The sequence below is a fragment of the Homo sapiens genome, chromosome 10 (genome assembly GCF_000001405.40).
Source record: "Homo sapiens chromosome 10, GRCh38.p14 Primary Assembly".
Lineage (NCBI taxonomy): Eukaryota > Metazoa > Chordata > Mammalia > Primates > Hominidae > Homo > Homo sapiens.
In genome coordinates, this window is record NC_000010.11 from 12,812,581 (window position 1) to 12,839,963 (window position 27,383).

General features: G+C 49.0%; 1 protein-coding gene across 10 annotated transcripts in view, besides 3 other annotated features; it reads left to right on the forward strand.

Annotated features, from left to right (window-relative positions):
• Window positions 1–22,965, forward strand: part of CAMK1D (calcium/calmodulin dependent protein kinase ID) — a 485,999-nt gene extending 463,034 nt beyond the window's left edge. For 6 of the 10 annotated variants that reach the window (NM_153498.4, XM_047425537.1, XM_011519591.4 and 3 more), the window contains 5 exons: window positions 1,615–1,727; window positions 3,670–3,748; window positions 11,885–11,972; window positions 12,993–13,110; window positions 16,189–22,965. In NM_153498.4, the coding sequence (NP_705718.1) occupies window positions 1,615–1,727; window positions 3,670–3,748; window positions 11,885–11,972; window positions 12,993–13,110; window positions 16,189–16,307 (517 nt within the window). In that variant the 3' untranslated portion in view covers window positions 16,308–22,965. Of the gene's footprint in view, window positions 1–1,614; window positions 1,728–3,669; window positions 3,749–11,884; window positions 11,973–12,992; window positions 13,885–16,188 lie in introns of those variants that run through there. The other 4 variants (NM_020397.4, NM_001351032.2, XM_006717483.5 and 1 more) reach the window with 3 other exon arrangements.
• Window positions 6,316–6,921: an enhancer, noted in NCBI's record as "H3K27ac-H3K4me1 hESC enhancer chr10:12860895-12861500 (GRCh37/hg19 assembly coordinates)". NCBI's record gives its function as "activates a minimal SCP1, AML or CMV promoter by ChIP-STARR-seq in naive H9 embryonic stem cells {active_cell/tissue: H9 hESC(naive)}" and the evidence as "EXISTENCE:reporter gene assay evidence [ECO:0000049][PMID:30033119]".
• Window positions 6,922–7,526: an enhancer, noted in NCBI's record as "H3K27ac-H3K4me1 hESC enhancer chr10:12861501-12862105 (GRCh37/hg19 assembly coordinates)". NCBI's record gives its function as "activates a minimal SCP1, AML or CMV promoter by ChIP-STARR-seq in primed H9 embryonic stem cells {active_cell/tissue: H9 hESC(primed)}" and the evidence as "EXISTENCE:reporter gene assay evidence [ECO:0000049][PMID:30033119]".
• Window positions 7,527–8,131: an enhancer, noted in NCBI's record as "H3K27ac-H3K4me1 hESC enhancer chr10:12862106-12862710 (GRCh37/hg19 assembly coordinates)". NCBI's record gives its function as "activates a minimal SCP1, AML or CMV promoter by ChIP-STARR-seq in primed H9 embryonic stem cells {active_cell/tissue: H9 hESC(primed)}" and the evidence as "EXISTENCE:reporter gene assay evidence [ECO:0000049][PMID:30033119]".
• Window positions 22,966–27,383: the final 4,418 nt, after the last annotated feature.

Sequence of the window (27,383 nt, forward strand, 5' to 3'; positions counted from 1 at the left end):
GCTCCAGCCTGGGTGACAGAGGGAGACTCTGTCTCAAGAAAGAAAGAAAAAAAAAGAACTGCCACCGTGGCTGCCACCCTCTGGGTTGTCGCAGCCCGAGAAGCAAGTTCTGCACCACGCTGCATTGCCCCTGGCCTTCTGGAATCAAGCTCCGCCTTCCTGCAGCCTTAGGCCCACCTCTTCCTGGCCGTCCAGTGTAAACCAAGGCCAGCCCCTGCCTCCACACGGGCCCCAAGCATGTTCTAGGTCTTTTCCTGAGTGTTTTAGCCAGCCAAACTGAATCATAGAGCCACGGTATCTTAAAGCTGGAAAAAATATTAGGGGTTTTCTAGGCCAGCCCCTCGTGTTTTCAGGGAAGGAAATTTTGGTCCAAAAAAATGCATCACTGGTAAAAGTAGCATTGAAACTGATTTCAGAACTGAAATGAGAATCCATGACTTTATGGAATGAATTGTAGTGGGTCTAGTTAATCAGAATTTCCACTCCCATTGTGTGTGTCAGATGCCTGTTGTCCCACCAGAACTCTAAATTATAAGTCACTTGCACCAGCATTAATATGATCTGCTAAAAATCAACTTTGAAATGGATCCATGGAAAAATGGGTAGTATTATGATATTGTAGGCTTACAACGTCTGTCAGCCCTGCTGATACTTACTGCATGTTAATGGGCAAAACCACAACCCTCCGCATACTCAGTCTGGGCATGGTAGTGTGCTGATGTGCAGGTTATGTGCGTGACAATGTGCAGGTTATGGTGTCTTGTGGCAACTTGAAACTCAACGTCATAAAATTTCATTTTCTTCCTCTGGTGATTTCTGAAATAAAATGAACCTGGAAGGGCCCTGAAATGGATATTAAACATATCTTTTGTTTGTTTTCTCCATCAGCTCATCCTCTGTTAGGGACAGTATTACATACAGTAAGATCAATAACATTTATGTGAAGAAGGCTGTCTGTTAGGTTTTTAGGGCGTGTGGGATTCTGTGGTTAATTCTGTGCAGAGAGTTAAGGGGGACTTCAATAGTTATTTACCTTTGATCATGACCTGAGTTGACCCTTTTTGCTATTTATTAAATCGCAGTTTTACTCCTGTGTCACCTATCCTTGCGGAATGTGTGCTTTCTTGGTTGAGATTATATTTGCAACACACGCGGTACAGATTTTCTTTTTCTTTTTCTTTCTTCTTTTCTTTTTTCTGAGACAGAGTCTCGCTCTGTCACCCAGGCTAGAGTGCAGTGATGCGATCTTGGCTCACTGGAACCTCCACCTCCCAGGCTCAAGGATTCTCCCTTGAGGCTCTCCCACCTCAGCCTCCCAAGTAGCTGGGATTATAGGCACCAGCCACCACACCATGTCAGCTGATTTTTTTTTTTTTTTTGCATTTTTTAGTTGAGACGAGGTTTTGCTATGTTGGCCAGGCTGGTCTGGACCTCCTGGCCTCAAGTGATCTGCCCGCCTTGGCCTCCCAAATTGCTGGGATTACCTGCGTGAGCCACTGTGCCTTGCCAGATTTTCTTAACTCAGTTGGTAATGTCTCTTCCTTCCAGGCAAAGTGTACAGTCACCACACTGGTTATGCAGATGTTCCAGCTTTTACTCCATTTTGTCTCCTAGGCTCTGCGGCTACCCTCCTTTTTATGATGAAAATGACTCCAAGCTCTTTGAGCAGATCCTCAAGGCGGAATATGAGTTTGACTCTCCCTACTGGGATGACATCTCCGACTCTGGTAGGTCTCCCATAGGCAGCTCCCAGTGGGCGGCCCCCGCGACACTTACACCCAGACCACGTGACCCTGACAGGCCCAGGGGACCCTGGGGGGCTCAGAACAGTCCTGAGGGTCCTGTCTTGGTTGGCTGCTGTAACAAGATACCATAGACTGGGTGGCTCAAACAGCAAACATTTATTCCTCGCAGCTCTGGAGGCTGGGAAGTCCAGATCAATTCGCCAGCACATTGAGCATCTGGTGAGGGCCCACTTTCTGGTTCATAGACTGCTTTCTTCTCAACTATGTCCTTCTCACCATGTCCTCACATGGCAAAAGGGTCAAGAGAGCTCTCTCAAGTCACTTTGATAAGGGCACTAATCTCATTCATGAGGGCTGCACCCTCATGACCTAATTACCCCTAAAAGGTCCCATCCCCAAATACCATCACATTGGTTGGGATTTCAGCATATGAACTGTGGGGGATTAACAAACTCACAGCAGACAGTTCATAACAGCTCTCAGAAAGCTTCATGAGCTACATATTTGCGTTTGACTTGCAAACAAAGAGGACAAGCTTGGGACATCTGGCTCGAGCCACGCTGAGAGATGGGGACCCACTCATCCACCTCTTCTAGCCATGCCCTGTTCTGGGAGCTCCAGGAGTAAACCAATAGTAGCTGACATTTATTGAGTGCTGACTGTATGCTGAGCACAAGATGCTCTGTATGTGTGCTAACTCACTCAGTCCTCAGGACAGCCTGTCAGGCGGGTATTAACTGTTAACCCCATTTGACAGACGAGGAAACCGAGGCCCCAGAAGGTGAAATAACTTGACCAAAATCATACAACTAGTAAGGGGCAGAGCCGGCATTTGAAATGCCACTCTGAAACGTTCCTAGGGAAGTTCACTGTTCCTTCCTCAGGGAAAAAGATCAAAACCAAGGCCTGTGTAAATTAATGAAATCTCTCTAAGCCTCAGTTTTCTCGCTGGTAAGATGAGGCAGGTAATAATATTCCATCTCTACCACAGAGCATAGCAGAAGGATGAAATGAGATCATGAATGGGACAATGCGTTCTAGTCTCCGTGAGCTATTCAAAGAGAGCATGTTATTATTTGTGTTACTTCATCCTAAGTGGAAATGCCTTGGTTTCATCTTCAGCATTTGGAAACCTGGGCCTGGAGTATAGTTGTACAAGGCTCGCGGGAAAGAGCCACATGGGAAGTATTTTCCTTCTGAGCTCAGAGGAGCACAGCCTTCCCCCAGAAGCCCAGTCCTTTGGGCATTGAGGGGCCGCACCCTGCAGTGCAGCAGGTTTGGGGCCTGACCCATGATGTCATCAGTTCTGCCACCCAGCCCCTCACTTTCCCAGGGTCTTCTGGGCCATCCCCTCTCCTGGGCTGCCAACTACTCCCCCACTTCCCCCAGCAGGGCACAGCTCACTGCATTGCAGTTTTCTGCTCCAGGGTTTGTAATAGCCCAAGTAGGCCACACATGGTGCTTTCTGGGGACTTGATATCCACAGCACCTAGCCCAGGACCTGATGGGCTGAGCAGGTGCTCAGTAGGTTTAGTTGAATCAGCCACATTTAACACATGGAGATGATGTCACCAAAACAGTTCTCTAAGGCAGTGATGGACTAATTAGAGGCACATGATAACAAAGATATTTCTTCTCTTCTCTCAACCAAAGGTATCACTAGCCACTAGAGGTAAGGGCCTTGGAGCTGGAAGTCAGGGTCCCAGGCCACCTCCTCACTGCTGGGCCACCCTAGAGTGCCAAGTCCTGGCTTTCCTTTTCCCCACACGCTGGTGCCTTTGTGTCCAAGGTACAGTAGTCTCTGTGGAGGGCTGGTCTCATATTTTTCATGCTACACACGCTCCTCCTGAAGACCTGGTGGGATCATATTGTCACATCTCAAGTCGCAAAGTGATTCCTTCCCTTGTGCCTTCTTTTTGAACAGCAAAAGACTTCATTCGGAACCTGATGGAGAAGGACCCGAATAAAAGATACACGTGTGAGCAGGCAGCTCGGCACCCATGGTAAGGAAATGCACCCGCTCAGCAGACCGTGCCATTTAATGCCATCTGGGGGGGGCACGAAACTTCCTGTTGGCCGTTGTCATTTATGAAATCCACACAGGATTATTACAAATTTCATCTCATTCTGGCCAGTGACTTTCCTCCTCTCCCCAAGCCAACATTTGAACTCTTGTGCCCCCAGGACACAGCTTCTGGAAGCACCATGAGAAGTTAGTATGTGTATTCGTCCTTTTTCACGCTGCTGATAAAGACATACCAGAGGCCAGGCATGGTGGCTCATGCCTGTAATCCCAGCACTTTGGGAGGCTGAGGTGGGTGGATCACAAGGTCAGGTGTTCGAGACCAGCCTGGCTAACATGGTGAAACCCCATTTCTACTAAAAATACAAAAAAAATTAGCTGGGCATGGTGGCGCGCGCCTGTAATCCCAGCTACTCGCAAGGCTGAGTCAGGACAATCGCTTGAACTCGGGAGGCGAAGGTTGCAGTGAGCTGAGATCGCACCATTGCACTCCAGCTTGGGCAACAAGAGCAAAACTCTGTCTCAAAAAAAAAAAAAAAAAAAAAAAAGACATACCCGAGACTGGGCAATTTACAAAAGGAGGAGGTTTCATTGGACTCACAGTTCCACGTGGCTGGGGAGGCCTCACAATCGTGGTGGAAGGCAAGGAGTAGCAAGTCATATCTTACATGGATGGGAGCAGGCAAAAAGAGAGAGCTTGTGCAGGGGAACACTCCTCTACAAAATCATCAGATCTCATGAGAGACTTATTCACTGTCACGAGAACAGCACGGGAAAGACTTGCCTCTGTGATTCAATTACCTCCCACCAGGTCCCTCCCACAACACGTGGGAATTCAAGATGAGATTTGGGTGGGGACAGAGCCAAACCACATCAGTATGCAAAAGATAGCTGCTTTTGCATTTCATAGAAAGTCTTTAAAGATATTGAAGATAATTGCCCAATGAGGCATTACAATCGGAATTTTATTCCTTGAGTTTATTACTCATTAGTTAAATGAAGTTACATATTTTTTTCCTTTTAAGATGCTTTTCGAATTTGTGTTTCTTCAACTCGAGAGGGACTAATTGAGAGTTGATGGCATTCTACACATTTTCAGCAGTGGGCGTGAGGCTACCTTGCTTTTGTGCCACTAATTTAGAAACCAGCTTCACTATCAGCTAGCTGCGATGCTAGGTTTACACTTGACTTTTGTGAGCCTCTGTTTCCTCATTGTTAAAATGAGAATAACAATACCTAATTTGCAGGGCTGACATAAGAAATACCGGAGATAATGCATGTAGAGGGTTTAGCACAGAAACCCTCTGGTCCATCAGAAATGCTTAGTTAATTGTAGCTATTGTTTTGTTTTGTTTTGTTTTTTTGAGATGGAGTCTCCGTCACCCAGGCTGGAGTGCAGTGGGGCAGTCTCGGCTCACTGCAGCCTCCGCCTCCTGTATTCAAGGGATTCTCCTGCCTCAGCCCCGCAAGTAGCTGTGATTAACAGGCACCACCATGCCCAGCTAATTTTTTGTATTTTTAGTAGAGACAGGGTTTCGCCATGTTGGCCAGGGTGGTCTCAAACTCCTGACCTCAGGTGATCCACCTGTTTCGGCCTCCCAAAGTGCTGGGATTACAGGTGTGAGCCACCGCGCTGGCCTGTAGTGATTGTTATGTAAGCACCACGAGCATCCATTGTGAAACAAATGCCAAGAGTCGTAAAATACCAAAGATAATGAAAATAAATGGACAGAACCTTGAGATCAGGAGAAAATCCCCCTAAAAATTACTCCAGAAAACCATCCCCCTGTGTGCCCCGCCATCCTCTGTAGCATTTCCCCTGGGGTCTTGTGTGCTGGTCAGCCTTCTAAAGGGGACCTGCTCACAGACAATGTCCTGACCCCATTTCACAGTATTTCAGTGTATAACACCTATCATTTATTGAGTCTCTATTATATTCCAGCACTGGGCTAATTGCTCTAATGTATTGTCTTCTTTTTTTCCTTTATAATAACCCTGTGAAGTTGTATTTTCATTTCAGAGATAAAGAAATAGAGAGATGGCCGGGAGTGGTGGCTTATGCCTGTAATCCCAGCACTTTGGGAGGCCAAGGCGGGTAGGTCACTTGAGGTTAGGAGTTCGAGACCAGCCTGGCCAACATGGTGAAACCCCGTGTCTACTAAAAATACAAAAATTAGCCGGACACGGTGGTGTGTGCCTGTAATCCCAGCTACTGGGGAGGCTGAGGCCTGGAAATCACTTGAATCCAGGAGGCGGAGCTTGCAGTGAGCCAAGTTGGTGCCACTGCACTCCAGCCTGGGCCACAGAGCGAGACTCTGTCCCAAAAAAAAAAAAAATAAGGTAAATTAACTTAGCCGAGACTACACAGCTAGCTAATAGCAAAGCCAGGATTCCAGCCAAAACTATCTGATTCCAAAATGAATTCCCTTCACCATCACACTGGAAGGAGAAGAAAAGGGGAAGAAAGGAAAGGCTTGGGGGAGAAGGAAAGAACATTCTGAAGAAGTGGACAGTTGTGATTGTGTATCGTCTTGATTTTGTTTAAGTCACTTTGGGCAGTAGTCAAAGTATGCGACGATAAAGGTAATAAAGGTTTTCTTACTTTATAAACATATTAGGCCTTTAAAGCTGTAAGACTTTTGAGATTTATCTTATAAAGAATAAAAATGACCTCAATAAAAGAGGGAGGGATGTGAGCCTAGTGCTTGTTGGTAATCCATACTTGCTCTGTAGAAGGCAGGAAAAAGGCCAGTTAACACCTGCTCTCTCCTTCACCAAACATTTTGGAAAAAACAAAGAAGGGAGAGGTCAGTTTTCCCGAGGAGGCTGGGAGAGGGGCACAGAGGGCCCAGCAGGAGGTGGAGGCCCTGCTGAGTGCCACACCATGAGAAGGCTTGCCCCAGGCCAGCGGGAAGAGGAGGGAATTCCAGGCAGATGAGCGTCTGGGCATACAACACGGGAGCTTAAAACTGCATGTGCGTTCCTGGTGCCCTGAACACATGGTATTCCAGAGTAGGAGAGGACGCAGGAGACAGGAAATGAGACTGGGAAGGAGGGCAGGAACTGGCAGGCAGGGCAGGGGCCTGGCCTGGCCTGCTCGGCTCTTAAGTCCTGGCTTCACCACTCACTGCCCGTGTGGATGAGCTCCTCAGCCCTTTGGGCTGCCCCTGGAGAATCAGATCATGAATAACAATAATACGGACCCCGCAGGACTTTTCAAGGGGTTACGTGAGATAATACATGTGACAAAGAAGAAGCGTTGCACATCTGTGATACCTACAGGCTGCCATTAATTGATGACTCTACCAAGGAATTTATACCTTTCCCTTTGGGCAGTGGGGTCCCTGACATCTGTTAGGCAGGGTGCTGAGGTTTGATTTTAGACAACCCAATCTGGTGGGAGATGGAGTGTGGGAGCGTGGCCAGAGGTGCAGCCTAGAGGCGGAAAGGGGGCTGGCCCAGAGGAGGGTGACAGTGGCCTGCGCGGGGCAGCGTGGCAGGGATGGAGTGGGGCAGGGAGGACTGTGAGTGACTGTCAGGGACGGAGAAGCCATGGGCATTGGGCAGAGCAGTGGCAGAGTGAGGTAAGGAAGAGAAGGGTCTAGGATTATTCCCAAGTTTCCAACTTACGGGACTCGGGGGAAGATTGTGCTAGGAGGAGGGGCAGGCTTGGAGGAGTGAGTTCAGCCTGGGCCACGCTGCACCGGAGGTGGTGGGAGCCTCACTCTGTCGCCAGGCTAGAGTGCGGTGGCGCGATCTCGGCTCACTGCAACCTCCGCTTCCCGGGTTCAAACGATTCTCCTGCCTCAGCCTCCCAAGTAGCTGGGATTGCAGGTGTCCACCACCACATCCAGCTAATTTTTGTATTTTTAGTAGAGATGGGGTTTCACCATGTTGGCCAGGATGGTCTCGATCTCCTAACCTTGTGATCCCAAAGTGCTGGGATTACAGGCGTGAGCCACCATGCCCGGCCTACAGTACATTTTAACCCTCCCAATAAGTCAAACCCTGGAAAATGATGAAAACTAATGCACTTGACCCAAGCATTGCTGAAACTCTCGCTTGCCTGCATTTATGATATACTTCTCTCTTTTATGTAACATTGCCTGGGCAAAGTAGAACACAGATTCAGGTGAGAGCTGGCAGAATATGGAGTCATTCCTCCAGGCGGCCCCTCCTCATCAGCGGCAGCATTCTGGAAGCTGTGGTCTCCGCACATCCCTGACACCCCGAGAGCATCATCTCTTATTCCACACTTGCTCTTCTGACTTCAGCAGGGCCACCGAGGGCGAGGGAGGCCTTGGCAATCATGGACACCTTCCTTAGCCCCCAAACAGACCACTTCAGACAGGAGAGGGGTCTTTTCAGAGCTCCCCCTTGGAAGGCAGCCGGCCTCTTAGCAGATGGAGGCAGCCGGCCTCTTAGCAGATGGCTCCCGCCCCTTTCACTGAGCATTGCTGTTCTCTCTGTGGTGTGTGCTCAGGTCCCAACAGGCTGCCGACTGATGGCCACAGTGTAGGGAATGGCCAGGGCCAGGATGGGAACCCAGGCCCTGTTACAGGGCAGCCCTGGCCAGAGCTCATTCCTCCAGCTCAGTGGTTCTGAGCATTCATCTCTAGGCTCATTGATAAGCAAACTGAAGTGATAAGAAGAGACGCTGAGAGAGAGAGATTAATTTATTTTAAGGATTTAAGCCTGTTTCCTGCAATTGTGGGGACCGGCAAATCAAAAATTTGCAGGCCAGGGCAGCAGGCTGGAGACCCAGGGAAGAGCTGATGTTGCAGCTCGAGTCCGAAGGCAGACTGGAGACAGCAGTTCCTCTTCCTGTTTTTCATGAGGGCCGTCGACTGATTGAACGAGGCCCACCCATGGCATGGACTCTAGTCGGTTTGACTCAAAGTCTACTGATTGAAATGTTCATCTCATCTAAAAAATACTTTCCCAGCAATATCAGGCTAGTATTTGGCCAAATATCTGGGTACCGTGGCCTAGCCAAGTAGCCAAGTTCACATTCCTGAGTGTTCGCCGAACCCCCGCTCCCATCTTCTGGGCTCCAGACACCAGAGCTCCGGTTGGCTGTAGGAATTGGGAGGTGGCCCAGGACTGGCAAGTGCTGTCCCGGGTACACACCAGGCACCACCAGGCCCATCTTGAGCAGGTGGCTAGAAAAGCGCAGACTCAGAGCCAGGAAGGTAGAAGAGACCACACACAAAACACAAAACCACGAAAGGCAGGGGAGACTAGGCTGTGGTCCGTGAGTGGTGGATAGTGAGACAGGCTGTAAAAGGTGTGATTACGTAAATGCTATCTGCATTGTTCTTGTAGGTATTAAAACCAGAAAGCTGGCCGGGTGTGGTGGCTCATGCCTGTAATCCCAGCACTTTGGGAGGCCAAGGCAGGCTGATCGCTGGAGGTCAGGAGTTCAAGACCAGCCTGGCCAATATGGTGAAACCCCATCTCTATTAAAAACACAAAAATGAGCCTGGCATGGTGGTGCATGCCTGTAATCCCAGCTACTCAAGAGGCTGAGGCAGGAGAATCACTTGAACCCAAAGGCGGAGGTTGCAGTGAGTCGAGATCGCACCACTGCCCTCCAGCCTGGGCGACAGAGCAAGACTCTGTCTCAAAAAAAAAAGAAAACAGAAAAGCAAGGGAGACATGAATGAAATGTGTTCACCCATAGCGTTGCCTAAGTGTGTGTATATGGATTGATAAAGCAATCCTGCTGTATCAGAAGCATTGACCACTAGGATCCCTTCCAATGTTTAGACTCCATGCCTCTGGTTTTGTTGGCGAAGCGTGCTGAAGTTAGTGACACTGAGCATCAGCGCTGTCCGGATGTTACTATTGCAAGTTTCCTAGCTTATCATGAGCATGGGTCACCGTTGTCATTGCGGCTTGTACTTGGGGAGGGCCACGGTGCACTATTGTGGCCTGACATGGCTGCACTGCTGCAGGAAGACCGTGTAACACAGAGCCTGGGGGCCACCTTCTGCCCAGCTGGACTCCCCACTGCTGCACAGCCCAGGACTGTGGGAAATGAGCATGAAGCATTCCTAAAATAATTAGAAGCTTCTGTTTTCTTACATCTGGGCCCATGTGAACCCACAGATATAGCATGGGACACAGAGTATAGGCAGCAGGCCACGGGCCGTGGGGTCTGAGACCACACTGCGGACAAGCAGGTGGACCCCGAGGCCCAGAGTCTCCCCGACCCCAGCACCAGCCTGTTTGCTTTGGAGCCTGGCTCTGCCCTGCAGCAGTGCTCAGCCTGAGGAATTCCAGACTCCCCACCACTTTGGCCTTGTCGTTTCTAAGAAAGAGCTGGCCGCTGCAAGCTTGGACTGGCATCCTTTTCTGAGGATGTAGCTTTTCAACAGGGTCCAGGAGGAATCACTCCCTTGGGCTCTCCGGGGAAAAAAGCTTAATAAAGATGTCTCTCATTCTCTCATCCTCTTTGTCTTGTTACTCTTGTTTCAGATGTAGTTGCCCATTCAAATACTCTATTTCTGTTTCAGGAATATGTGTCTGGGAAGGAAGGCAGTTGACAGTTGTTGGAAATGAAAACCTAGTTTGCTTGAGATATTTCCTGCACGTCCCCTTGGCTGTGTGTTTGCAGCCCTGCTGGGAAAAGGTGGTGGGGGAGAGTTGTTTTGAGCTGGGAACATCAGCCTGGATTCTAAACTTAGGCCAGCCTGGCCCCAATTTTATATCGACTCTGTCCACCCTGTTTGCAGTCCTGATGGGAAAGAAAGTCTGGCTGGTATTCTCTCTTGTCTGAATATGCCTGAGCCGTGTTCCTTTCATCTCCTGAAGTAGTTGGAAGTGATGGTTGCCGTGTCTGGGCTGTTTAATGTCCAGGGCAGTCAGTGTCTCAGGGGTGAGAGGTTTTCTCCCTTACCAGTTACCTTCCAGCCCATAACGTTGGTTTCTGACTCTGATCCCCTTAACTTCTGCAAGATTCATGAAACTCTTTCTTAGCCATCAGATAGTAACCCAGAATTGAATAGTTTGGTGCTAGAGGGAAGGGAAGAGGGAAGGATCAAAGCCCAGGAAAGACTGGGAGCAGAGCACAGAGGCCCAGGGGGAAAAGGCCAAGTGGATGCCTGTAGGGAGAGGAGGAGGCTGTGATCGAGAAGGGCATGCATGAGGGAAGGAAGAGCTGGGAGACTGCCAGGTAATTCTCAGCCTGGATATTGTGAGCCGAGAGAGAGGAGGAGGCTGTAAGACCCAAGAAAGAGACAGCAGAGGGAGGAAAGAGTGGGATGGAGGGTACTGTCAGGAGAGAAGGCCAGGAGCAAACCTAAGTTCTTCCCTGCTCATGGCAGGCTCAGGAATCAGCTAGAGTTAAAGCTTACCCGGGGCTGCCAAGGGCTCAGGTGAATGCAGGGTGGACGCCGTCCTTGAAGTTCTAAGAATTTCAAGGAGATGCAAGGGTGGAGGATGTACCAGGCGGGGTTGAGTGGAGCTGGGAATCCTGTCACCCAGCATAGAGTGGGTGGGGGGCATGGGCTCACAGGTGTTGCCAAGCAGAATGTGGCAGGCTCAGCTCTGCTGAGATGAAGCTGAGAGCCCACGGGTGTGAGTGGTGCCCTGGGAGCAGCGCCCCTGGGGAAGACAGAGAGGAGGGACCTCGGGTCTGAGGAAGCTGGGAAGCAAGGCCGGGAAGGGGTCTGGTGCTGAGACCAGTTGGGGAACAAGTGTGAGACCTTGGAGGTGGCGCATGGTGGCTCAAAAGCTTGTGTGGAGGCAGAGGGGATGAGGGGGAGGGAGAAGGATGGGAGACATTGTCACTGTGGATTCTGATGTTGCAGGAATTGGGGTCAAAGAAGGAAAAAATGAGAGCCGGGGAGTAGTCAACCAGGAGGGCGCTGGCGGGTCTGGGGAGGGTGCGGAGTGTAGAAGCTGGAATAGGACTTTGTGGTGAGGGGTTAGAATGGGTGGGTTTAGGGAATGGCCAGGTGATGACATCAGCAGCCTGGAAGGGCAGCGGCCAGCCACCCTGTCCACGACTGAGCCTCGGCTCTCCTGAGGCTAGGTAAGACTCCCCTTTATGGGACGCAGTGTCAGGGCCCAGAAGAAGCACTTCAGAGCAGCACCTTTGCCTCTGTTTCAGGATCGCTGGTGACACAGCCCTCAACAAAAACATCCACGAGTCCGTCAGCGCCCAGATCCGGAAAAACTTTGCCAAGAGCAAATGGAGAGTAAGTGTGGAGTATATGAAATTCCCCGTGGATTAACCCCCTCGTGACACTGGCCCTCCAATCTGAGCATTTCTGAAATCCCCAGAACCTCACCTGAATAATTTTGCTAATTTTAACTGCAAGTAATAAAGACTCAGAGGGAATATTATGGTGTAAGAGGGATGGAGTGTGCAATTCAACACTTCCCCTCTGTGATCAAAGACAGCAATAGTGCCAGCTCTTCCTCATCTGCTGTTTCTTAACCAACATCACCCTTGTCTTTCTTCACCTTGCTAGAACTTTGAATAGCTGACTTTTATTAAAGCGATATGGAGGGGGAAAAAACAGGAAATCTGAGTTGTACTCATCAATGTTTCCTGATAAAAGTTTGACAGATTTAAACCATGGAGGTTTTGTGATCATCTGTTGATTACCTGACTTCCTAATCTCTTGATTACCTGACCTCCCCTCCGTGTTCCAATCAGCAATGGCAATTCAGAGCTAGCTATTTTGCCATGAGGGCCAATGGTGAAAGATGAGACGGAAACAAAATTAATTTTGCTGGCCTGCTGTATTCATAGGACATGCTATCATTAGGTTGGCGCAAAAGTAGTTGTGGTTTCTTCCATTAAAATTGCCATTACTTTTGCACCAACCTAAATCTTTCAGACAAAAGTACCAATACTAGGAAAATAAAAACTATTTTCAAATCTCACATTTTTAAGGTATTATAATATGCCTTTTATTCTAAAGGCCACATCTCTTAAATTACAGAGAGAATTGGTTTATGTTTATTCTATGTATTTATGATGTCAGAAGAAAACTATTTTAAGTCTCTAAAATATTTAGTTGGGGAAAGGGGTTAATAAATCAGTGCACTTTTAGAAGAAGGGACAACATAAGCTTTCCTTCTTGAGTAGCATGAGAATGATGTAAGGAGTTTGAAATGCTTAGGCTAATGTGATAAACAAGAGAACACAGTTAGAGTCTTTTCCGATTAGCTGAAATATTTGTCTGCTTTTTTCCTTTCTGAAATTTCAGCAAGCATTTAATGCCACGGCCGTCGTCAGACATATGAGAAAACTACACCTCGGCAGCAGCCTGGACAGTTCAAATGCAAGTGTTTCGAGCAGCCTCAGTTTGGCCAGCCAAAAAGACTGTGCGTATGTAGCAAAACCAGAATCCCTCAGCTGACACTGAAGACGAGCCTGGGGTGGAGAGGAGGGAGCCGGCATCTGCCGAGCACCTCCTGTTTGCCAGGCGCTTTCTATACTTAATCCCATGTCATGCGACCCTAGGACTTTTTTTAACATGTAATCACTGGGCTGGGTGCAGTGGCTCACGCCTGTAATCCCAACACTTTGGGAGGCTGAGGCAGGAGGACTGTTTGAGTTCAGGAGTTTTAAGACCAGCCTGACCAACATGGTGAAACCCCATCTCTACTAAAATATAAAAATTAGCCGGGTGTGGTGGCGAGCACCTGTAATGTCAGCTACTTGGGAGGCTGAGGCAGGAGAATCACTTGAACCCAGGAAGCGGAGGTTGCAATGAGCTGAGATCACACCACTGCACTCCAGCCTGGGTGACAGATTGAGACTCCCTCTCAAAAAAAAAAAAGAAAAATCATTGAACACTCGTGGAACCCTAGGTATTGCTATTTCCATTTACAGTTGAGGAATCCAGGGCTCAAGTCCTCGCAGCCATGTCTGTCTGGATAAAGGCCTGGACTCTTTCTCATCTCCATCCTTCCCTCTGATTTACCTCTCATTGTACAGTCACTCTTGCGGATTGAGGAAGGGAGAGCAGAGCCTCAGGACAGCCTCCTGCCATTGACTTCCATAATGTATATATTTTGGATGCAGACAATGATAATTTGAGCTCATTTATGTGAAGTGCATTGACTTTGCAATAAAAGTAATAGTATTTCATTGTCCTTCGTCTTTGCATGGGCTATTCCATCATCGAAGGCACACTTACTCTCTCCTTATCTCTCTCCCCAACTGCTCCTCTCTCTGTGGAAATAATCCCGTTTGGCCCTTCCCATGGGTCCTCTCCACATCAGAGCAGTGGCCCTAATCTCCCTAACCATGGAGCAGCCCTGCAGCCTGGTCTCACCCTGGGCATCATGCTCCTTCCCATTTGGCTCAGAAAAGGATTCCCTTCCTCTCTAAGGAATCTTCCCATCTCATTTGGGACCATCCAGCCCTTAAATTTTCCCAAGAAATCTCTGTGAGTGTCCCCTGACATACCATAGCTCCCCTTTCACCCTGAATCTTTTCCACCCTCTGGTCAAAGGGAACCCCACGATGGATCCCTTCTTTACAGATTCATACACTGGCATCGGCAGCAAAGCCCGTCGGGAGCACTCCTTGTATGGCTGTTTGTCCCCATGTCTGAGCACACAGACTCCCTGGGGGCCTGCACCAACAAGCTCAGTGGCGGCTGAGGCCTCTCATATCAAGGCTTTTGATGCCTGCACATCCTCTGGGGGAGGGCTTCAGCGCAGCCTCTGAGGAGCTCCACTAGGCCAGGGACTGCTGAGCTCACACAGGAATAGGTGAACATCTCTATTCTTGCTCTTTTTTCTTTTCTTTTTGCTTTCCTTTCTTTTTCTTTCCCTCCTTTATTTCCCTCCTTCCCTCTCTCTTCTCTCTTTTCTTTTCCCTCCCTGCCTCCCTCCTTCCTTTCCTTCCTTCTTTCCTTCCCTCCCTCCCTTCTTTCTTTCTTTTTCTTTCCTTCTCTTTCTTTTCTTTTTCTTTCTTTCTTTCTCTCTCTTTTTCTTTTCTTTCTTTCTCTCTCTTCTCTTCCTTCCTTCCTTCTTCCTTTCTTTCTTTCTCTTTCTTTCTTTTTCTTTCCCTTCCTTCCTTCCTTTCTTCTTTCTCTCTTTCTTTCCTTCCTTCCTTCCTTCTTTCTTTCTTTCTTTTCTTTCTTTGTCTGTCTGTCTTTCTTTCTTTCTTTCTTTCTTTCTTTCTTTCTTTCTTTCTTTCTTTCTTTCTTTCTTTCTTTCTTTTCTTGTCTTTCTTCTCCTCTCCTCCACTAACCTGCCCTGCCCTGCCCTGCCTTGCCCTGCCTTCCCCTCCCCTCCTCTCTCCTCTCTCCTCTCTCCCCTCTCCCCTCTCCTCTCTCCTCTCTCCCTTCTCCCCTCTCCTTTCTCCTCTCTCCTCTCTCTTCTTCTCTCTTTCTCTCACTCTCTGTCACCCAGACTGGAGTGCAGTGGCACAGTCACGGCTCACTGCAACCTCAACCTCCTAGGCTCAAGTAATCCTCCTGTCTCAGCCTTCTGAGTAGCTGGGACAACAGGCATGTACCACCGTGCGCAGCTAATTTTTGTATTTTTTGTAGACCCAGGGTTGCCCCAGCTGGTCTGGAACTCCTGAGACTCAAGCGATCCACCCACCTTGGCCTCCCAAAGTGTTGAGATTACAGGCGTCAGCCACCATACCCTTATTTCAAAGTGCTCTGCGTCACAAAATGCTTTCTAGCCAAGAGTGTACACAACACACCAACCAAGGGTAGGAAGGTAGTATCATTCTTTATTCCTTCTTAAAATACCTGCTTTACAGAGCTATTATAAGAAGTGGACAATTCGTATGATGACAGTATGTAGTCAACACTAGCCTGGTGCCTGCTACATATTAAGTGCTCAGTACATGGAACCTGTTGTACCACAGTGGTGAAACCATGTTGTTTTCAAACACAAAGCAGTTAAAATTACACCAAAAAAAAGGAGAGGAGAGGTCTAAGAATAAAGCATTTTGAACCCATTGCAAAGGCTTTCCCACAGGTAGGTAAAAATAGTCACACGGGTAAAAATTTGGGTCCCCGCAAGTTGGGCGCGGTGGCTCACACCCGTAATCCCAGCACTTTGGGAGGCTGAGGTGGGTGGATCACCTGAGGTCAGGAGTTCGAGACCAGCCTGGCCAACATGGTGAAACCCCATCTCTACTAAAAATACAAAAATTAGCCCGGCGTGGTGGTGAGCCCCTGTAATCCCAGCTACTCGGGAGGCTGAAGCACGAGAATCGCTTGAACCTGGCAGGCAGAGGTTGCAGTGACCCGAGATCGTGCCACTGCACTCCAGCCTGGTGAAAAGAGTGAAACTCCATCTCAAGAAAAAAAAAAAATTGGGCCCCCCCGCCCCCCACCATAAACCCAGCCCCTCTGACACCTGGCAGTGGGAAGCAGGGTGAGAATTTACCTCTGAAACTCTGAAGCCCACTTCTGCTGTTCCCTGCAGGTCTGGCACCTTCCACGCTCTGTAGTTTCATTTCTTCTTCGTCGGGGGTCTCAGGAGTTGGAGCCGAGCGGAGACCCAGGCCCACCACTGTGACGGCAGTGCACTCTGGAAGCAAGTGACTGGCCCTGGAGGTGGGGCCCGGGGTCGGGGCTGGGGAAGGGGAGCCCCAGGGTCGCCAGAGCCGCGAGCCACTCCAGCGAGACCCCACCTTGCATGGTGCCCCTTCCTGCATAGGACTGGAAGACCGAAGTTTTTTTATGGCCATATTTTCTACTGCAATTCTGAAGTGTTCATTTCTCACAAACTGTACTGACTCGAGGGGCGCTGATTTCATAGGATCTGGTGCTGTATATACGAATCTTGCAAAGCTCTAACTGAACGGACCTTCTTATTCCTCTCCCCTAACACCATCGTTTCCACTCTTCTCAGTGTAGGTAACCGTCTATGGTGTGTTTTTTCATTAATGACAAAAAAAAAAAGGTTTCAACTGGATTATTTAAATATTGGTAAATATTGTGCATTAGGGTTTGTTTTTCCTTTTAAGAAGTATGTCCTTTGTATCTCTAAGTTACATGACCTATATCTTTTCCTCTTTAATAGTAGTTTTATGTTAACCTTTAAGAGATTTGTTTTTCCTCAAAGGAGAATTTAAAGGTATTTTTTAAAATTCTAATAAGAGGATCAGCCGGGTGCAATGACTCATGCCTGTAATCCCAGCACGTTGGGAGGCCAAGTCGGGCGGATCACAAGGTCAGGAGATCAAGGCCATCCTGGCCAACATGGTGAAACCCCACGTCTACTAAAAATACAAAAAATTAGCCGGGCGTGGTGGCACACACCTGTAGTCCCGGCTACTCGGGAGGCTGAGGCAGGAGAATTGCTTGAACCCGGGAGACGGAGGTTGCAGTGAGCTGAGATCGTGCCACTGCACTCCAGCCTGGGTGACAGAGCAAGACTCTGTCTCAAAAAAAAAAAAAAAAATTCTAACAAGAGGATCATGAATCTGTCTCCAAGGCTAAGAGTGCCCTTCACCTCTACTCCTTCTGTTTCTCTCCCCTTCCCCAGGAGGAGGGGCCCCTCAGTTCTGCGAGGCTCTCTTCTCTGCGGGGGACTTTGGTAGAGAATCTGCACAGAGCCTTTGCTGGCAACCCATCCAGCAGAACCCACACCCACCAGAGACCCTAGAGGCCTCTTGCCATCAGCAACCAGAAATAAGCCTGCTCCCCCGAGACGCAGGGCTCAGCTTCACAGGCCAGACTTGCTGTGAGTGAGATGCCCACACTGCAGAGATGCAGGACCCTCCCTTGCAAAAGGAACCAGCTGCCATGTTGCTGAAAGTGGGCCCACACACAACCCTCATTTCTCACGAGAGCTAACAGATGAAAGCTCAGCTATGCAGTGTTAAAATTCATCTCTTTCTCTGTGGTTTTTAAAAAAATGCATTTCTAATCTTACACTTCACGTGGCCTCCAACACAAAGTTCTTTCTCCACATTTTTACCCTCTTCTCACATGAATGTTTTCCAAGGGAAGGAAGGGAGGGAAGCAGCCTTGGGAAAGGATCCATTTCTGGTGGTAAGGAGAGGGGGCCCTGCCAGGCTAATGGGACTTCAGCCACCACAGAGATGACCAAAGACCACCTCCGCCAGGCCCAGCCAGTGCTTGCAGCCCTCCCATTGGTCAGGGGAGTCTAAAATCAAAGATACATGGTGGTAGGGTCACCAAACGTCCCATTTGCCCGAGACTGAAGGATTTCTCAGGCTGTGGACATTTAATGCCAAAACCAGGAATATCCGGGGCAAAGCAGGCTGTGTTGTTCGCCTTTGTGGAGCCAGGCAGTGTGTGGCCCAGGGAAAGCTGCGTTTCATGGAGGCTTCCAGGAGGCTGCCCTGTAAAGCCAGGCAGGTGGCTTCAAGTGCCATTCCTGCAAGTGCCCCTGCTTCAGCTCTCAGGCCCATCCAATGCCTCGAGCCCACGGGGGTGTCCCGGCAGGTCTGCGTCATCACGACCCAGTAACGCTGCTGGCTGTGTCCTCATGCCCTCTTCCTCTGGCTGGCCAGTCATGGGAAGTCCTGTTGGTTGAGTCATCTTTGTCACTTCTACACCTTTGAGTATGTACAGGCTGAATGTTGAGTGATGCCCCCCCACCCTCTCAATAAACACACACACACACACACACACACACACACACACACACAATGTTATTAGGCACAGCAGCTCCATCCTGCTCCCTGAGAATGGCAGTGCAGGCACAGAGAAGAGCAGTTGGGAAGACAGGCAGCTGGTCTACCCTGTCCCCGCACACTTCACAGGCACTCCACTGCTTGGCAGGAATTCTGCATGGCATCTGCCACGCATGCTCACAGGGTGAAAAATCAAGCTGTCACTCTGCAAAATCTAAAAACCCTGGAAAGGTCTATAAGATGACATTAGACCCAGTTAAGAAGCAAGTGTCACCTGAGTTGGCCATGCAATGAATGAATATTATAAGCAGTATTGGAGAACTAGGCGGTTGCTTACTAAGAAGTGTCTTGGAAACATTCGAGTTCATACAGTGCATGACAAAGTAATAGAAGGCTGCAAGCGCTGAAAATGCACCCGAATCTGGTACCTAGGATGAGTACATGAATAGTGATGAATAGCCCTTTGTGCTGTGTGCTATATACAACCATTTGCATTCAGAAAGCAGCATTTGAAGCTGAGTTCCATTACTGGTGATTGAAGTATTTTCAGGAGCAGATACATGTGGTGCATGTTATATGCACTTAGTTTGAAAGTATCCCTCACCCAAAAAGTGCAGAACCTCTGAAAGGTGAGCCGTGGTGCAGGTGCCCCCCTCGCTGTTCGGGTCAGTTCTTGGCCATGCTTGGCCTGTCACACGCCGGGTCTCAACAACATCGTGCGAGGAGACAGTGACTGGTTTCAGCCCAAGAGTCAACTGTTGAGCATGACATCAGGAAGCCTGTACTGTCCTGATCCCACCAGGCTTGGGTTAATTTCCTATTGCTTCAGAGAAAGAGAGGCGCTCTTGTGCTTTTGAGAGAGCTCTCATGTTAAAAAGAGGTTGTCTTTGCACTGCGCTTGGTATGATTTGTTTTCTTATAAAACAGGAAGAGAACCTAGAATGTGCCTTTCGTGAAGGTCTGACAAATGGGGTCTCAGAGTCCTAGGACCCGCACCAAGGTCAGAGTCCACCTGTAGAGGCTGAGCATTTCTACATGCACCCAGGGTGCTGGGCTGAGGCTAAGGGTGGACGCGTAGACCCCATCACAGGCTTCCTTCCTGAGCCCAAGTCCCCCATTTGGTCACTATCCCTTCTCAGAGCAAGTGGATTCTCTTTTCCTCACTTGGAGTATTCAATGTTGAAGTAGTGGCCTGGAGTGGCCTTTCCCTCAGCTGCCTGTCTGGGCTCCCTGGCTTCCCGGATCTTCATCTCATACGTGAGGCAATAGGAGGAGTTTCTATTCATTGAGACAAACAGTGAGCGGGCACCAACAGGCCAGCAGCTTGGCCCTTTTCACAGAGGTGGCCTTGGAGTCTGGAGTCTGGGCAGCTGTCTGCCTCTCTACGGCTCTGCTTCCCAGCGGGCACACGGGTCCGGAGCCTCAGAATGAAGTGGTGCAGAGGCGCAGGGCACACCTAGGAGAAGCTCAATGACCACCAAAGCCCTTGAGGAGAGACGGGGTTTGCTGTGTTAGAGAAATGGCAACCCCCAGGACCATGCACGGCTCTGGCAGTGCACAGTGGCTGATTTTCACCAGTTCCTCCTACCCCTGCCTCTGTCGGAGACTAGAAAACATTCTACCCCTTCAGGTCTTCTTTTAAAAGAAAAGAGCTATGGCAAAGCGTGCCATACAAAGTTAAAAAAAGGAAGAGTGGCTTTGCGTTCTTGACCATGGCCACAATTCTGGTCACTTCTAGCATCTGACCTTGAGAACGGTGTAGAGTCTCTGAGCCACCGCTGGCCTTTGAGAGAGTCTCACTCTCCAGCTAGCTCTTTGTGTAGTGTCCAGGGCCCCGGCAGTCAGGATAGAGCGAGCAAAAGAAGATGGACAGTGGACAGGGCGCAGTGGCTCACGCCTGTAATCCCAGCGCTTTGGGAGAGCGAGGCGGGCAGATCACAAGGTCAAGAGATCAAGACCATTCTGGCCAACATGGTGAAACCCTGTTTCTACTAAAAATACAAAAATTAGCTGGGCATGGTGGTGCGTGCCTGTAATCCCAGCTACTCGGGAGGCTGAGGCAGGAGAATCGCTTGAACCCGGGAGGCAGAGGTTGCAGTGAGCCGAGATCGTGCCACTGCACTCCAGCCTGGGTGACAGAGCAAGACTCCGTCTCAAAAAAGATGGCCATGCTGGCCAAGGCTGGGCTCATAGGAAATATCTGTAGTAGGATGAAAGGAATCTGGCCTAGGGAGCCCCGGACTCGGTTTACCTACCCCGTACTCATCCCACTCATCTGTCTACCCTAGTGTCCATCATGCCCTGGATGAATCGTAGGTGGGAGGGACAGAAGCCGAGAACACCAGGCACACGGGGTGGGGGGAATGGGGGGAGCCCAGGTGATCCCCTTTGGAAAGTGGATTGATCCTCTCCCCTGTGGAATGACAGCTTAACCTGATTAACCCACTGGGGCTTGCTATTTTATGAGCATTTTTAAACAGAAAGGAAAGATGATATCCCAGTGCAGGTAGACTTTATTTTTGAAAGCATCGTGGCCCCTCACCTCTCCCTCTCCCCCAGAACCTTGGCCAGAATTGAGTCTTCGCGTTGGGGAGGCCACGCTGGAACCATTGCTCTAGGGCTGAAGGTGGAAGTAGGGCCACTGCCGCAGCTTCAGCCAGAGCCCTCGCTGCTTCGCAGAATTTAACAAGCACACGACTGGGATTCCTTTGGATATGAGAAAGGAAGGCAAGTGCGGGCAAAGGGAAGCTCCTCCCGTTTTTCATAAACAGAAGTAAGATGTCCTCTTTCCCAGGTTTGCACAATCACTTCTGGCAAATTAATTGAAGGTCCTTGAATTCAGCCAGTGCACGAAACCTTTGCATGTTCTTCTGAAACTGTACTTCTTCCCTATTCTGTCTACCCACACTCTGCGAACTTTGCCTTTTCCTTAAACACATTCCAGACCAAACACTGTTCAGTTTGTTAAAAAAAAAAAAAAAAAAAAAAGATGTATATACCTGTATGTGATCCACCACCCTTTTGAGGGGCACCTGGTCCTCGGTTGGGGCTGCAGGTGTGCCTGACATTTGCAAAAGATATTCCAGTCTTTCGATGTTCAGAATTGAAAATGTGGAGATAGAAAAGCTCAAACAGACTCCTAAAAGGAGGGTTTCTTTCCTGAAGACTCCAAGAAAATGAGTGTGCAGATGAGTTAGCTTGACAACCTCAACTCTGGGGAGCAGGCAGGCGGTCTGAGGAAGATAAGGGCCCACGCCCCACTCACCTGGCACCTGTTCGGTGGTCCCGGGGCATCATGGTCTGCAGCTCTGGGCCCCCAGCCCCACTGTGAAGTCAGTCCTGCATGCTGGCCGAGGCCCGGCCACCTCCCGATGCCTCCAGAGTCAGTGGGAAGGAGTCAGCCCTTCCCAGACTTCCCCGCCACCTCCAGCAGGAGCAGCTCAGTTTGTGGCTCTGGGAGCTCCGCTTTTGCAAACCCAAAAAGGCTGTGCATTTGGAAGCCAAACGCTCAGCATGCGGCTGCCGAGTCTGGTTTTGTGGACAAAGCAAACTGTGGAATGGCTTCTCGGTGTCTGTATAAAGGGACAAACGGTTGCATTCACCCTTTGTACTATAACACCGCTTCTGCATTCGCCATATCCGTTTTTTAACCTTTTTGTCTCCGGGGAACTTCTCATTCGATTATTATGTCTTCTGATGATTTGCCATGTTATTTTAAAGGTGATTTTATTTTCTTATGGACAGGAAAAAAGAAAATGAGGAGGAGTTGGTTTTACTCTTAGAGATAAGACTTCAGCAGGGGCTCAGAAACCCCAAACTCTAGTTAAATTGCTTCTCGGAGGAAAATCTTAATCTAGACAGATTCAGATTCCCAGGCTCTCCTGGAAGCCCTGCACTTCAGGGCACAGGGGCCCTGGGACGTGGTTGGCAGCCAGGCTGCGAGAGAGCTAAAAAGGAACAAGAACATCAGCTCGGATGTTTGTCTCTCAGCCCTGACACCTGCCACTCTCCTTCCCGGGGCACTTGGCCCTATCAGAGGGACATGAAATGCTGTCCGAATGGTGGCAGAAATGCAGCGACATTGCATGCAGCAGAGTCTTTGCTTCGAAAGATGGGGCGCCATGTTTCAGAGAACATTTATCTTAGTCCCACGTTCAGGTGAGAAGACCTCAAAGGTACCCTCTGTCCAGAATAAACATTGGAACAATCTCTCAATTGGCTTTTGTCACTACACATAATGTAATCTCCCTTCTTTCAGCTCCCCCAACAGTGAGCATGCTTCCCAAAAAATTACAACATCAAAACCAGGAATGTCCCCGCATCTACTATTACCAGGCTTGCAATTGGTTCAATTTTCCCATAAAAACATGTTTGTCCAAAAGAAGGGAAACTGTGAATTTATTCCATGCATGTAATAAACTCTGCAAGAAGTTTAACCCACATAGGTTTGCGGCACTGCAAAATTGTTCATGGGTCTATGTAGCAAATGATTCTCTGCCTTGACAATCATGTATACATATCAAGATTTCTATCATAATGATAATGAGATTGATGACTTCCTGTTTTCCTCCAATAAAGACAATTAATCACCTTCAGATGCTCATTTCCTCTGTCATGAGAAGGATGTGGAGTTTCAGTGTCTCTATCTTTCCTCTGCTTCCTGAAGTTTGGATTTGAAGGAAGGAGTTTGAATTGAGACCCCCCAAACTCATGGAGTCCCCCTTAAATATTTCAGGTCACCTCCCCAGTGAGCAGGGAGTGGCAGGGATGGGTGAAGGGATGGTACATCGTGCCTTTGGGGTTGGGGACAGGTGCCCAGGTTCCATGATCACTGGACAGGAAAGCTCCCCCTTTTCCCTGCTGCTGCAGAGGGGGACTGGAGGTGAGCCTGGGAACTCAAATCGCACTAACTCAATATTCCTAAGTCATGTGGAGGAAAAGCCAATGCTGATCCCCAGGAAGCGCCTCTGAGTCATGGGTGGCTTGGCAGCCTCAGGCTTCAGCAATACACACCCACGTTCTTCCATTTCCTCGGCATAGCAGTGCCCAAAGGAAGATTCTTTTCCAGGCAGAAGGCTGGCTGCTGTCTTTTGTGGGGGTTTGGGGGAGATGCAGGAGGAGGAACTACAGTTCATAGCTCATCAAATGTATTGTGGGGCTCGGGTCTGATGGCCAGACAATTCTTCCAATCCAAATAGGGATTGTGTAGGGAGAAAAAAATGAATTGGACATGTGTTATAGAAATGTAGAATTAAAACTGTCCCACACAGCCAGCATCAGATGAAAACAGCATGGGTGGGCCTTACTGAAAAAAGGCTATGAGCCCAAAAGAAAGGCAGTGCCCACTGTCTGATGTCTAGTTCTTTTGTGGTTGATTCTTGCTTCTGTAGCCCAGACCCTAATGATGAGTTGCATCAATACAAAGCTATCATTCAGTGGGTGAATATGTGATGTCGTTATTGCAGGTTTTATGGAACATAACATTTTGATGGCAAAAAAGGAGATACAAATCGTGTGCACCCAAATCCCCCTGACTCTCTCTGCCCCCAAGGAGAGTGACTATGCCATCAAAATCCTGTTTCATAGGCCAGGCACAGTGGCTCATGCCTGTAGTCCAGCCCTTGGGGAGGCCAAGGCGGGCGGATCACAAGGTTAGGAGTTCGAGACTAACCTGGCCAACATGATGAAACCCCATCTGTACTAAAACTACAAAAATTAGCTGGGCATGGTGGTGGGCGCCTGTAATCCCAGCTACTCAGGAGGCTGAGGCAGGAGAATTGCTTGAACCCAGGAGTTGGAGGTTGCAGTGAGCCGAGATCGCACCACTGCACTCCAGCCTGGGTGACAGAGTAAGGCTCTTTCAAAAATAATAATAATAATAATAATTCTGTTTCATAGAGAAAGATTCTGATAACAGATTTCCGTAAGTTCATCTGCATGTTGAGTAATTTGGCTGGGCTGGATGTGGTCTTAGGCATATGTATACACTTGGCTTGGACCAGTGCTCTTTAGCTCAAGAAAGACTGAGCAAGAGGTACTGTGCCCAGCCTCATATTTTACATACTACTTGGTTGCAACACCTGTGCTGAGCCCCCAGAATGTGTAATTCCCAAAAGAGCACCCCAATTTCACATTCTCTTCCTAACATAGAGAGTATGTATGTGTGTATGTACCATGTAAGGGGCTTCAAGCTGAGGGAAGTGGTGAGGTGTGATTTCCAGTCCATATCCTGCATGCCAAGCCATGCACCCTGGCTCAGGGGAAAAGATGTTTTTTTTTTTTTTCCCCATCCAGTTCATACAAAGGCACTGTATGGGGGCCTGCTGGCTTGGTGGGCCCAGCGGACCGTGAGCATTAGGCTGTGAGCTGTGGGCCAACTGCAACTTTTTATCAGGTTTTCAAAGCTGGAGAAAACTTCAGCTAAGAGCTCAGAATCGAGCAGGCTCTGAGGGAGTTCATCTGGCCTCTTGTGTAGGGATGTCCGAGTTGAAGAGTATATTAACCTTCAGGAAACTATCACTAAGGGGCTGGTGCATATAGAAGCACTTTACAGAGTTCATTAGACATCACACTGTAGAAAATGGGTTGGCCTCCCCATCTCACTTCACCAAGAAACCCAGGAAGTCTTGCCTTTCATTCAGGACGATTGGCAGCAATGACATGAGACCTTAGCGCCCTCGGAACCCACAGATCCTCCCTGATCTATTCCCCCTACAGGCTCCCATCAGTGCCCTTCCACCAAACACAGTCATAAGCTTTCATTCATTGATTCATTCCCTCCTTCATTCACTCAACATTTGTGAACACCCCTTATATCCAAGGGTTTTCGTTCATGCTGAAAAACACCAAAGTCAATCTGACATGAATCCTACCCACGAACACTGCATAAAACAGGAAGCACTCGAGTAAGCCTGGGAGGAAGGGGAGAGTTTAGACAGGAAGGATTGAATAGGTGCAATGTGAGGGAGAGCTTGGAGGCTGGGAATGCAGCATTCGGTGGGCTAGTCCATAGTTCATCGGGCCAGAGCAGAGGGTGTGAGCAAACCCGGGAGGAGAGAGAAAGGTGGGCTGGAGGGGCACGGGAGTCATTGTCATCAACAATAACTTCTGGAGCTAACACCATCACGTATTGACCATTTACTGTGTCCTGGACACTGTGCCATGTACATTCCATTCAATGTCTCATTTCACCAGCAGCCCTTAATAGGGAAGGCGCCCTGATTATCCAAGTGGCTTCAGAAAGATTTGATATTTACCCAGCTGTAGCTGTGAGTAGAGTTGCAAATTCCTCCCTGATTGATTGACATCAAAGGCCATTCTGCTGTCTTGTGTCTCGTGGCTTTGTGCAGGTCACTGAATTCCAAACTATGAAATTTGGACTTTTTATTAAGTGACTGGGAGCCATTGAAGGTTATTGAGCTGAGGAGTGACATGATCACATCAGTTAACGTTTGGAACAGCACCATTATTAGGGACCGTTGTATTACCTTCAAGAGAAATTTATCTGCAGTAATAGCTCAGTCTGGTCTTACATGAAGCCCAGTAACCCAGGGTCTGCCGAGAACATACTCATTACCGAGGAACCGGCCCATTTATTTTCTGACGTCTGGTTCCATTTCTCAGGAGAAATATCACAGAAGCTGGATTTGACTTAGAGTCAGAGATGCAGACCATAATGACAACACTGCTGGGTTTTGGCTTTTTTATTTTATTTATTTATTTATTTATTTATTTGAGACGGAGTCTCACTCTGTCGCCAGGCTGGAGTGCAGTGGCACAATCTTGGCTTACTGCAACCTCCGCCTCCCAGGTTAAAGCAATTCTCCTGCCTCAGCCTCCTGAGTAGCTGGGACTACAGGCACGTGCCACCACTCCCAGCTAATTTTGTTGTATTTTTAGTAGGGACAGGGTTTCACCATGTTGGCCAGGATGGTCTGGATCTCTTGACTTCATGATCTGGCCACCTCGGCCTCCCCAAGTGCTGGGATTGCAAGCGTGAGCAAAGTGCTGGGATTACAGGCATGAGCCACTGCCCCTGGCCTGGCTTTTTGATTTTTAAAGTTAGGCCAGCCCCTCATCCTGATGAATAACTCCAGGAAGTCCAGTGCGTGCACACGGAGGTTCATCACAGACTCGCAGCCTGCCTGGCATCTGCTTTTCTCCTCCAGATTACCCTCAGAGCTACTGATTTATTTTTAAGAAAGTGTCTCAGATCTCTTGTGTTCTTCCAGCCTCCCCTGAGAGGAACTTTATTTAGCATGAACTCATCCGCCTGACTCTCTAGAAAGGCTTCGTGGGCCAGGAAAAGGCAGTTGTTGGTCCACCAGTGAACCCCTTTTCTTTTGTCCGCCTGTGGGTTCCCTCTCTCTAACACTTCTTTATCTTCAACATTATGTCTTCTTTCTTGAGCACATCAGATCTAAATCTTTCTAGTGGGGGCTCGCTGGGTCAGGTGGTTTATATCAGCAAGTGGAGAAAAGCTCACGAGATACTGAGCTGCCAATACCTCAACCGTAACCCGACCTGGCTCTCATCACGCATAAGAGTGCAGTGACCGGCTGGGTGCAGTGGCTCACGCCTGTAATCCCAGCTCTTTGGGAGGCTGAGGCGGGCGGATCAGGAGTTCAAGGTCAGGAGTTGAAGGCCAGCCTGGCCAACATGGCGAAACCCCATCTCTACTAAAAACACACAAATTATCCAGGCGTGATGGTGTGCGCCTATAATCCCAGCTACTTGGGAGGCTGAGACAGGAGAATCGCTTGAACTTGGGAGGCGGAGGTTGCAGCGAGCGGATATCTTGCCACTGCACTCCAGCCTGGGCAACATAGCAAGACTCTGTCTCGGGAGGGGGGTAAAAAGAGTGCAGTGACCGACTCCTCTAATGAGGGCCAGCTGGTTCCCAGCGCGGACATGGGAAGACAGCTGACTTTTGCACTCACCTAGCCCAAGGGGCTTGTCACCTGGCGCCCCCAGGAAGAAGACAGTGCTTACTCCGGAGCTGATAAAGGCATTA